The sequence below is a fragment of the Homo sapiens genome, chromosome 11 (assembly GCF_000001405.40).
Source record: "Homo sapiens chromosome 11, GRCh38.p14 Primary Assembly".
Classification (NCBI taxonomy): Eukaryota; Metazoa; Chordata; class Mammalia; order Primates; family Hominidae; genus Homo; species Homo sapiens.
This window is the reverse complement of record NC_000011.10, coordinates 10017456-10030400: the sequence shown is the minus strand read 5'-3', so window position 1 is coordinate 10030400 and position 12945 is coordinate 10017456. Positions and strand designations below refer to the sequence as shown.

At 35.7% G+C, this 12945-nt stretch overlaps 1 protein-coding gene across 11 annotated transcripts in view; it reads left to right on the top strand.

Moving 5' to 3' along the window:
• The window catches only part of SBF2 (SET binding factor 2), a 526174-nt gene that overhangs the window by 274441 nt on the left and 238788 nt on the right, over positions 1-12945 (top strand). For all 11 annotated transcript variants that reach the window (NM_001425069.1, NM_001425070.1, NM_001424318.1 and 8 more), the window contains 2 exons: positions 526-636; positions 1844-1949. In NM_001425069.1, coding sequence (NP_001411998.1) covers positions 526-636; positions 1844-1949 — 217 coding nt within the window. The remainder of the gene's footprint in view (positions 1-525; positions 637-1843; positions 1950-12945) is intronic.

Here is a 12945-nt window from a genome sequence, read left to right as displayed (position 1 = left end):
TTGCTATACTGAAAGATTCATAAAGATTGCATTATGTCTGTTTTACCACCTACCTCCTTCTGAACTCAGTGTTAATCTTACAATCTTGTCTCTGTTTTGCAATCCTTTCTTACAATTCACATGTTAAATTTTTCTGTAGAATAAGCATTCCGGATTTATAAGAACCACCAAACAAGATAAAATTTCTAAGTTTTTGTCTTGAGATTTAGAGTTTAACAGACTTAAGTTGAGGCAAAAACAGTATTAGCCCTACAGATTTGCTAGAGTAGTTATCAGAGCACAAACATCTGTTTTACAAATTATGGATTTCTGCTTTCTATAAACTCATCTCAGAAGCTCATTTGGGGGTTCTGGTTCTAAGGAAAATTTAATAAACTTAATTTTTGCTGTTTAAAATGTATTCCATGTTCACTGTATAATATACTTTACTGGGTTCAAAGAGAAATCGTCCTAGAGCAGATGTCATAACAATTTATTTTTAATGCTTTTTCCATGAAATAATTACATGTATTTATCTTTTTGCAGGCTTGCCTGGGTTTGATCTATACCGTGTATGTGGACAGCCTGAATGTCTCCTTGGAAAGTCTAATTGCAAACCTTTGTGCCTGCCTTGTCCCAGCGGCTGGAGGGTCTCAGGTAAATAGAATAGAAAGAGAGGTGGAGAAGGATTGTTCCTCTTCCCCTCTCCTCCAGTTAATTTAATTTATGGAGAAAGGGAAAGAAATAATTCTTTAAATATTTTTGTTTTAAGGAAGATCCTACTTTAGTTAAGCATTGTCCCCATGGTCTGCTTTCTAGACACTCAAGATTCCATTCTTTTCTTAGGTCATGAGGTTAATTTTAACACAGGGTTCATCTTTCACATAGCATAATTAGAAGTCATATTTTGTGTAACTTGAACTGCAGTTTGTATTTTCTTGGAAATATATTAAGTTGAACTTTTAAATGTTCTCTTTTACCTTTCTCACTCCTGTATATAGTTACATCTCATTTTTATTAACCTAAATTGAAACATGTTGGAGTGATAAAAATTAGAAGATGACATTAAGAAAACTCTCAACACAGTTCTTTGTTACATTGTAACTACTTATTAATAGATTCATTTATTCTGTATGTCTTGAGATTTTCATATTTGTCTCTAAAGTAGAAAAATAAGAATCTCTGCTGCTATGATTTATTTATTGTTTCTTGGTCAACCATACTTTTAAAAGGATAGATTTTTTCCTTAAACCTTAAAAATGAATAGGTGATAATTTATTTTGCTTATTCTTATATAATATTGGGAAAGAGGACAGCCTTCTAAAAATCACATTGTCTTCAGTCTGACAAAGATCCTGCTTATAGTGGGATTGGCATTTCTTTTTCTTGCCCTTCGCCTTTTTACTTCTCTTCTATCTTTCTCATTGTCTTTTGTCTTAAATTTTTATCCTCCTTTTTTCTCTGTCTCTCTTGCTCTCTCCTCCTTCATTCTTCTACCTCTGCTCAAAGGGCAGAATATTAAATGTGAGTTTGGTCACAGATGGGTCTAAACTTGAATTGCTTTATGAGCCTTTATTAAAGTTGTTGACTTTAACATTTCATTATTTTTTAGCCAGTTATGATTATCAATGATTTTTGTGTCTTATCTCTACTAGATTTTCAACTTTCAGCCACTGAATTTTCTTATGCCACTTAAGTATACAAAGAACTTAAATGTTTTGGGATATACATTGTTGCCTTTTGTATCTGTTAATTGGATCTTACATGGTCGTTTGCTCTAAAAATGAACATCGAAGGTATTTTTATTTTTTAAAAAATGGCTGAAATCGTGTGTGTGTGTGTTTGTGTTTCTCCCATTCTGCAGAAGCTGTTTTCTTTGGGTGCAGGAGATAGACAGTTGATCCAGACTCCTTTACATGATAGTCTTCCTATCACGGGCACTAGTGTGGCTCTCCTGTTCCAGCAATTGGGTATGTCTTTTCTCCCATTTTCAATGTCATCTTGTAGAAGCCTATGATTAAAGGATTTATTTTAAGTCGACATCACCTCACATGAATCAAGAAAATGTTTTTTAAACCATTAAATATTTTATATATAGGAGATATATAATTTTGTGGGTCCTGATCTTACCTACTGTTCATTCTTTTTAAAAATTTTAACTCAGGCCCCTTTTTTCCTTAGGTCAGTTAGACTTTTAGAAAGTGGATGGGACGGGTGTGGTAGCTCATGCCTGTAATCACAGTACTTTGGGAGGCCGAGGCAGGAGGATTGTTTGAGCCCAGGAATTTGAGATCAACCTGGACAACATAGTGAGACCCCATATCTACAGAAAAAATTTTAAAACATTAGCTGGGCATGTTGGTGCACACCTGAAATCTCAGCTACTAGGGAGGCTGAGGTAGATGTATCACTTGAGCCCAAAAATTCAAGACTGCAATGAGCTATGATGGTGCCACTGTACTCTAACATAGAAGGAAAGTGGACATATTTTCTTTATGCTAAAAGATGAATAGATGATATATTTTGCATTTCCATAGATGAACTGCTTTTGTGGAAGCCTTGTCAGATGGGACTCTGAGTCTCATTCTTCTCATCCCACCATCTATCTGAGGACTTTATCTCCAATTTTTCGGCAATGGTTAGGATGAAAGATTGGGAGGATTCTAGAAAGTGTCCACTGTACCTTGGACAGCTTTTACATTATTTAAGAAATATATAACTTAAAAATGAGGATATTTCAAACCAGGGCTGCCCAAAGATTCCCATTTACGTTACCTCTGACTTGTCCTTTATATATCCTGCCTATGAGTGTCCCACTCTCATTGCTCTCCATCTGTGTTTGTCTTTTCCTAGTTATGCTGAAATCTTCCCTTCCCTAAGGTCCATACCCTGCCTCTTCATGGAATTCTTAATTTCTTGCACAGAAATTCTACCCTCTTGCTTCCCTCCTGTCTCTTGTTGAATTTTGCTTGTAGTTTTGCTCTGTATCTTACCACCCTTTTCATCAGTGTCCCTATCCATATACTTCTGCTTTAACTTCAATCAGTGAAAGTTAGAAAGCCTTAGAGGAGATTAGTATAAATATAAATAGAGTCTTCTAATATCTGAATTAAAATGAGTGGTGATATCAATTTCAAAGTAATTCTTTCCAGCTACATTTGCCTCTTCTCATGCCAACTCTAAAATAATATCTCCCTTTGGTCAAAAGATACAAAATTTCAATTAGGAGAAATAAGTTCAAGATATCTACTATGCAACATGGTGACTACAGTTAATAACAATGTATTGTATACTTGAACATCATTAAGAGAATGGATTTTAAGTGTTCTTACCACAAAAAAAAAGTATGTGAAGTAATGCATGTATTAATTAGTTCAATTTAGCCTATCTGCAATGTGTACATATTTCAAAACATCGTGTTGTACACTGTAAATATATAGTTTTTGTCAATTAAAAAATTACATCTCCCTTCTCTTCTAGTGCAAGTTTTTACTCACTGAGCATAGTTAAGCCTTAAAATATTTAAAGCTATTTTCTTTAATTTCATATTAAATAGATATTTAATGCATATCTATCTAATATGACGTACATAATCCCTTCCTGGTGGCATGTCTCCAAAGAACATCTTGTTGATTACATTCTCCCTCCATAAACTTTTGGAAATTAACAAAAAAAATTTTTTTGGAGACAGGATCTTAGTCATCACCAAGGCTGGAATGCAGTGGCATGAACACAGCTTACTACAGCCCCCAACACCCTGGGCTCAAGCAGTCTTCCCTCCTTAGCCTCTTGAGTAGCTGGGATGATAGGCACATGCAATCATACCCAGTTAATTTTTTTAATTTTTTTGTTTTATAGAGACAGGGTCTCGCCATGTTGCCCAGGCTGTTCTCAGACTCCTGGGCTCAAGCAGTCCTCCTGCTTTGGCCTCCCAAAGAGCTGGGATTATAGGCATGAGCCACTGCATGCAGCCTGGAAGTAAATTTAGTAGATTCATGGACTACCTGCAGCTTGTCTGTGGTCCCTACTAACCATTGACTTAATTGATTTTAGCCAAGAACCATTCACCTGACCTTTTTTACTTTAAAAAAGGTTGTATACCTCTAAAGGGTCAATCAGAGCAGAGGTTTACTATGAAAAGGTATAGAAGGATATGACACAAATGAAATTATTTCACATTTCCAAATGTGAACTTAATGAGTACCTTATAAACCTCTGTGGTCTTAGTTTTACCATGAGTTGTGAGGGGGGAGGAGAGGAGGAGGTTGTAACCAGCATTTAGCGTCAAGGACCAGGGATATTAAACATCCTGCAGTTTGTGTGATGTTTAGGTGCCAGAAGCATTTTTACCCCCAATACAATTAGCATTCCCACTGGAAAAAAAAAAAAAACTACTGTAGATAAAGTATAAATTTCTAAAACCCAAAGCTCTCTTCCAGTAATGGTGGCCTGTGTAATTCAGAATAATCCTCTTAACAATGACAACTTGAAAAGATACACAAATATAAAGAACATCCGCTAGACCAGGCACAGTGGCTCATGCCTGTAATCCCAGCACTTTAGGAGGCCAAGGCAGGTGGATCACTTTAGGGCAGGTGTTCGAGACCAGCCTGGCCAACACGCTGACACCCCATCTCTACTAAAAATAGAAAACAGTAGCGGAGCATGGTGGCAGGTGCCTGTAGTGCCAGCTACTCAGGAGGCTGAGGCATGAGAATCGCTTGAACCCGGGAGGAGGAGGTTGCAGTGAGCCAAGATCATGCCACTTCACTCCAGCCTGGGCGACAGAGTGAAACCCTGTCCCAAAATAAACAAATAAAATAAAAATAACATCTGCTTGAAGGCATCAGAGCCAGTAAATAATTGCCAAGCCATGATCCAGGAGAAAATGAAGTGAGCCAGACATTTGGGACCATTTTTTCCTAAGGGCCCTTGTTGATTTTGGAAGAAATGGCTGAGAAGCTGATCAGTACTATCGATATCTTATGGGGAAGAGGGAAAATTGGAATTTAAGTTTTACCAAGGTGGATTTTTTTTTTATATAAAGCTCTCATAATTTGAGTTGAGACCATAAAAGGCCACAGCCTGGGAGTGGGTAAATCAGAAGTAGACTGGCTCCCTCGGGAATTACAATACAGCTTGAAATCATTTCAGTTTCTTGAGTTGGATTAAGGTAATTCTTGATGCTACTGTCTATCCATCTCATAGAAGTAAAAGTATATCCTCTCTGAAACAAGATAACTACATTCTAGACCTCCAATTTGTCTATGAATTTTTATATACCTGCCCTGTACTCAATCAAAAATAACCAGAAACGTGAGGACCAAAACTATATGAAAGAAATGCAAAAGAAACCATAGACAATATGAAAGAACCACAGGGGCTCTAGCAAATAGAGTTATCAGATGCAGTTATTAAAATAACTATATTTGAAATAGTGAAGGAAATAAATAGTCAAGACTGAGAATTTGGGAGTGACATTAATCAGATAGAGGAATAGGAAATTCCAGCCCTCCCTCCGTGACAGAAACACTGATTTAACAAAGATTTACTGACAAAAATCCCTGCATGACAATTCCAGATTCTAGTCAAGAAATTACAGTACCTCAGACTTGCACAAAGCAGAGAATAGCAGCATTGAAATGTGTAAATAGAGCAATTTTATGTTACCTGTATCAGCCCCTTCCTCAACTCTCTCAGGCTTGGGGGTACAGGGAGGAGGGAAGAGTGGAGCTTGCATCCCAAATTCTGGCTGTTGAGGAAGCTGCCTAAGGGACTTGTTTCTGTGTTGCCTCTTTGGAAGCACAAGCAGGAGCTGACATAGTTTGGATGTCTGGGGGGCTGAGAACAAAGAAGGGGTTTGGGGAGATGCTTGCTGTGACCTGCACAGCTTGGTGTGATTGGAAGAAGGCACACAACTTGAGGCTTATCAACCTTGGCGAGAAGTGGGAGGAGCATTTTGTGTTGAGACTTCAGAGTGCTTCCCTGAGTACTGGTAAAAATGTGAATGAATTAGACCTCTTATTCATGGCTAATAGGAATATGAAATGGTACCACTATCTTGGAACACAGTTTGACTATTTTAAGTTTAAAAATGTTCATAAAAATATTTGTATATGAATGTTCATAGCCATTTTATTTATGGTAGTGAAAAACTGGAGACAAACTCAGTGTCCACCAGTGGTAAAGGATAATTGATTATGGAAATGGATAAAGCATCTGTGGTATGTTCATACAATGTAATACTACTAAGCTAAATGAAAAATGAATGGCTGATACACGCAACATAGATTAACCTGAAAATAATTATTTTGAATGAAAAATGTCAGAAAAATTATATACGGCATGATTCGGTTTCTCTAAAGTTCTAAAAAATGTGGTCTAATCTATGGTGATGGAAACAGGTCACTGGTTGTTTCATGGATAGGAAGAGCGAGATTACAAAGGGACATGAGGAAACTTTCTGGATGATATTTGTGTATACAGTCTTGATTGTGGTGATGGTTTTATAAGTATGTACATAAGTCAAAATGTATCAGATTCTTAAAAAAAAAGAAAAACATATATTCACACCAAAACTTGTATGTGAATGTTCATAGCAGCATTATTTATAAGAGTCAGAAAGTGGAAGCAATCCAAATGTCATTCAGCTGATGAATGGATAAACAAATTTTGATATATCCGCACAATGGAAAATTATTCAGCCGTAAAATGGAATGAAGTATTGATACGTGCTACAACCTGGGTGAATCTTGGAAACATGCTAAGTAAAAGAAACCAGGCACAAAAACCGTATATTATATGATTGTGTTTATGTGGAATGTCCAAAATAGGCAAACACATAGGGGCAAAACAGATTAGTGATTATAAGGGGCTCGAGGGATAGGGCCGTGAGAAATAACTGCCAGTGGGTGTGGGGTTTCTTTTGAGGAATGAAATTCTTCTGCAATTGGATACTAATGATGCTTGTACAACCTCGTGACTACACTAAAAACCACTGAATTGTATACTTTAAAATGGGGAATTTATGGTATGAGAATTAAGAAAAAATGTTACTGTTAGAGGCTTGTTAAAAGAACTCAGGAGCCATCTTGAAGAGGCTCACAACTGATCTAAGATGATAGAATTTGAGCTTCAAAAATTACAATAATTGCAGTTGGTTGAAACCCAGCAAATATTTTAAGATCCATGAATTCATAATATTAAAAAGGGATTGTCACCTACCTCAGAATATGATAAAGAACAATTTATCTTGAAAATTTATCAATAAAGAAAAAAATGATAACCAATAGTAGTTGAGGGCAATTATCTTTTTTAGAAAGTCTTCTAATTAATAAAGATGAAAGAAATGATGGAAATAGAGTATCATTTTGCAATCCTCAATGAACCAAGATCTAAGTATCAACAGCTGTTACCACAGAAAGAAAAACAAGCAAGTATTATGTGCCGTTATAACCTTACCAAACACTACTTATTGTTTTGCCAAAGGGATTAAACCTGAGTCTGATCACAGAAAATGTAGAAAATAGAGGAACACATTAAACTGCACCAAGAGAATGTAATTACCAAAATGCAGGCTGTTGGAAACTCTCTTAGTCAAATGTCCCAGGTTCTTTAACAATCTAGAGGTTCCTCAACCTCGAGATTGAAAGAGATTTAAAAGACATCCAACTTTTTAATAGAGTGAGACTAAACTATAGTGTCTACGGATGTACTTTTGGGTGATAAAAACTGCCTATAGAAAAAAATCAGGAAAGTGGATAAATATTAAATAAAAGCATGGTTACTCTTGGCAGTAGAGAGGAGATTATGATGGGGGGGTGGGTACATAAAAGGGGCTTCCAGGGGCTTTTACTTTTGCTGGGAAAGTTCTCTTTCTTGATGTGGGTGGTATTTTTAAGATAATTTATTAAGCCATACATTTGATTTGTGTGGTTTTCTATATCTGTGTTTTATAATAAAAAGATTTTTTTAACTTGTAAAATTATTTATGTCCTTTATGTGCATAACTAATATATTTTTAAAACCTTAAAAATATGTATTTAAGCAAAATACAGATTTTATCCTTCTCACATAACAAAAAGTCTACATACAGGTAGGCAGTCCAGGGCTGATGTGTATTGATTCTGGAATATCTTCAGGGACGTTACAGAAATTCTATCCTATGCTTTTTTCCCCTGTTTGTTTATAAGAAGTTTTTCCTAAAACTTACATGTCTTATTATTCTTGTGTACTCTATATCTGGCATAATGCCTCAGGTACAAAAGGCATCAATGTTTATTGAATAAATGAAAGAATGCACTAGCTATGAGGAAGTGGTAACCATATTGTAGATTTTTCTGTGTACTGATGAAGTGTGCCGGAATACATAATAATTGGTCATTTGAAGATCAAATTTTATTATTTTATTTTACTCTAGTATTTTCAGCTTCATTATCTTTTGCTTGCATGTTCTAAATTCACTTTTTTCTGGGAAAGAATGGGGAAAAGATAAGGAAGCAAAGCAGAAAGAAAGATGCAGTGCAGTGTGCAGAGTTGTTGTTTCCAAAGCACATGGTGGTGATAATTCTATATAAAGGCATTCTCTTATCACCTGTCATTTTGTTTGGACTTTGTCAAAGGCCAATATTAGGCCATTATCAGAGTTCACGAGCTGGGTTGGGGGTAGTGGTGGTAGCGGATTTTACAAAGCACAGACAGGAAGCAGATAAGACTATAAGATCCTTTTGTAACCTTGACTAGTTTTCCTGTGAAAGGTCTAAATGTAATGATAGCATTTCCTTTGTTCTTCTCTCTAAGAATTGTTATGATAATGAATTTGTTTTTCACAGTTTAAAAGGTCTCTGTGTTTTTCTGAAATAATTATATGGACTCTGCCATTCCAAGCTTCACTCCCTACAATTTCCTCTTGATCGCCTTCATCTCTTGTTTACTGTCTTGTGTTTATTTGGTTTTTGGTTTTTTTGTTTTTTTTGTTTTTTTGGCAGCCTATGTGAACTATTTTTGTTTACCTGAGGATTAGTGTTTTAAGTGTACTAACAATGCTGGGATTTTTAATGTTAATAAGTTTGTATTCACAGGAACTGGTTTTTATAGACCCTGTGATATTTTAATCTAATCCATACCCGTTTAAACTTGGGTGTCCCTCCCTGCCCCAAATAATCTTGTAAAATGCTCTTGACATCTTTTGTCATGTCTGTTCACCTGTAATTTGGATTTTACTAGAACATGTACTAGTTTTAGAAAATGTATCCAACAGTTTTCACAGTATACTCTTTAATAGGCATTTTTGAAAACTGACTAAAATGATCCTGGGCCATCAGCTATCAACACTTTGTTTCCACAGTTAAACCACATTAATCTTGTATCATTTGTGTTTGTACCTTTTTCTATGCATGCTTTCTTTTTACTTGTCCATGGTTAACTTTGGCCAGTTTTTTATTAGCTATTGATGGGTCAGTATGTCTCCATCGATGATCTCTGATATTAAATATAGGGTTTTTTTTTAAAGTTCTTAAAAAAGTTTTTGTTCAGTTTGTCTTACAAATATTATTCTTACTTTGTACATAAAAGTTATTAAAATGTTGACTGTAGCCATTCCTTGCTATTCAGCAAGTTGTTTCAGTTTTAAAATGCTTTAATGGAAAACCTTTGGTAGTCTCACTTTTGTCTTTCCCTGGAAAAACTTCTCTCTGTGATACTATGTGATTATTTTTGAAGTGATAATGTTACTGGCAGTGAACCCATAGGAGTCTGCAGCAAAAATTGTTGCCTCCTCAGAAGAAAAAATTCAGCCAAGGGGCCTAAGGCAGAGTGAGAGACCAAGGCAAGTTTTAGAGCAGGAGTGAAAGTTTATTAAAAAGCTTTAGAGCTAGAACAAAAGGAAGTAAAGTACACTTGGAATTGGGCCAAGCGGGCAACTTGAGAGAGCAAGTGCACAGTTTGGCTTTTCGACTTGGGATTTTATAGGTTGGCATGCTTCTGGGTGGTTGCATTTCTCCTCCCCTGATTCTTCCCTTGAGGTAGGCTCTCTGCATACACAGTGGCCTGCTAGCACCTGGGAGGGGCTTCACGTGCAGTGTGTTTACTGGAGTTGTACACATGCTCACTTTAGGCATTTTTTCTTTACCAATCCAGTGTTCCTAGAGGAAGGTCATATAGCAGTTAAACTCTGCCATTTTGCCTCTTACTGCACCTGCGTGAGCTCACTCACCCAACTCCTGAGCTCTTATCAGGAAGCTGCCGATCACCAATTTCAGGTATTTCTATCTTGGGAAACTGCCCTTCCCTGGCACCACTGTGACCAATTATTATTTTAGAGAGAGAGTTTAACAACTTACCTGACCATCACCTGATGGTCGCCTGACATTCCTGGTTGGGGTTGGGCAGGGGAAGGAGGTTCTCCTGCTCTGCTTATGTCTGTCTGAATATCTACTATAACAATAAGAACATTTGTAGGAGCCTTAAAAATAACTTACGTTCCTAAAACATAAAGATGAAAAGATGCCAGAGGTAAAAATGAAAGCTTAGGATGTGTAAAAATGTTTTCTTTAAAAGAAAATACTGATTGGTAAATTGCTGAACCATCCAATTAATGCATCAATTGTAGGATGATTTTTATCCTTTTTACTGAAATGATCAGCATCTAGGGCCTCAGATCATGTTTCTGTCTTAGTTTTCTCAGCTTATTCATATAGCATTATTACTTGTTTTAATCTTATTCTCACTTATAAGGGGAAAAAATGAAGTCGTCTTTTTTTTTTCAATGTTTGACCTTGAAGGAAGCTTGCTTAGTTTTCTCATATTAATCTGTCTTTTGTCATAAGGGTCTGTCCCAACAACAAACTTATCAGGGTTAAAAAAAAATTTAAAGAAAATATATTTCCTCTCCTATCATAAAAACATAGTTTGCAAATTTGAGTACACAAGATTTTAAACTATTACTAATAATGGCATCTTGTGCCCTATTTTACTGTATCTATGATTAATTATTTTTTGACAGTTGAATATCAGCTATGTTCTTTGGGGATTTGAAGCAAATTAAATCTCCTTGCTAGCCCACTCTGGGGCACTTTTCTGAAGGAACTGCTTACCACGTGTACCATGTGCTTACCTTCAGAGGCCTAAGGATCTCTAACGAAAACTGTTCCAATGTAATTTCTTTCTAATAAATGGCATGGGAGTCTATAAGAAAGTTCCCGTAATGCCCTTCTGCTTATATGATGGTAGAAGTATGTTTTTTTTCACAAAATGTTTACAAAGCCATTATTATGTGCCAGCTCCTGAGTTAGTCACTGGGGATATAAAGATGAACAAATCACAGCTCTTACCCCAGATGTACTTTTAGCCTAATGGAAAAACAGGTATCGTTTTAAAACTATAGTAGAATATAATTAGCACAATAATAGAGATACCAAGAGCAAACTCTTACTTGCTAGAAAAGTAAAATAAGGGCATTCTAGAAGAAGAAGCATATTTAGCATTATAGGAAATTATGAAAGGCCCTCATGGAATAGTAAGATGTTTGGTGAAGCCTGAGAACAGGGTTTTAGGAAATAGTCAGAATGTTATTAAGAAACTGATTGCTTTTCATTTCAAAATTAAAAATTAAATATTTATGCTAGTTCTATAAAGAAACCGTTGTAAAAATATCAAAGACTGACAGTCATTGACCAATTGAGTCCTTGTTGACTGGTGTACTATGCTTGCTCAAATCACATGTGAAGAAAGTAGTTGCTACATGATATAATCTGAGGAAAGTTCAGAAGGATCCTGGTTCAAAACTGTCCTGCCCATTGTCCTTTTTTGGCACGTAGATGCTAATATTAAATAGCTCTATCTTTGCATTGAATTATCTATAAAGAATGTAAATGCTCTAAGGCAAGAGAGTCATTAGGTATCGTTCTTCCTTGTCACAAAGTTCTCTTGTCTAAAATTTCTGTTTGCTCTTTCAGCATTTTAGTGGTTAATATTTTTATAAAATATGGCTACTCCAACATTTAAGTACATAGCTTCCAAATGGTGGCAGGATGAAGTACCTTTTTTTTTCCTGTGCTCTGTAACATTTGATACATAGCTCTATTATTTTATGTTTTAACCGTTTATTTACCAGTCTTTCGTCTTCACTGAACTGTGAGCTCCTAAGAGCCTGTCTCATATTTCTTTATATCCATCCCTAGAATTTTATGATTGATGATATATCTCAGTAGTTCAGTAATAATGTAATAGTGGCAGAAGGGAAGAAAGGGGAAAAGAAAGGAGGAAGTTTGAATTAAAAGAGTTGTTTCTGCCAGGACAGTTCCCTCTTATTTGTTCCTTGCATAATTCTCCAGTTATTCTCTGTTCTTCTTCCCCACTGCTTGCTGCTCTACTCACAAGGCTCCTTTTGCTTCCTAATTCTTAAATTTAGAATTAAAAGTAGATAAAAACCAAGTCAAGCAGAACAGACATAGTCTAGGAATTTGGGTCATTGAAGGTTGGAAAAATCTGATGTTATTACCTCAGAGCTAGAAAAACAATTAGAATGTTCAAGAAGGAAGTAAAGATGCTGCACCTTTTTACACAGTTTTGGTTGAATTGGCCTTTTATGTATTTGAATTATTTTTAGTCATATGTGTTTGGTAATTGACTTCTTATATTTAGTCTCCCACATTGCTAAGCTCTATTTGTGTGTGTAAAATATATTTAATTCATGTCATACTCAGGGGGTTGAGTCTGTGTTCATAAGGACTAAACTACACCTCCTTTCAGATGCCCAATTTACCACACTTTTTACTTTTTTACTTAGAATACTTGCCATATCTATCATATGTGGAAATAATGCTAAATTTGTAACAGATAGTAAACATTACCTCTCAGTGATAAATTTGAAACTTTATATAAAGTTTTAGTTAATCCATGAAGTTAAGGATATTGTCTTTATTCACTGCTATATTCTAGTGTCTGGAGTATAGTACACAATAAATA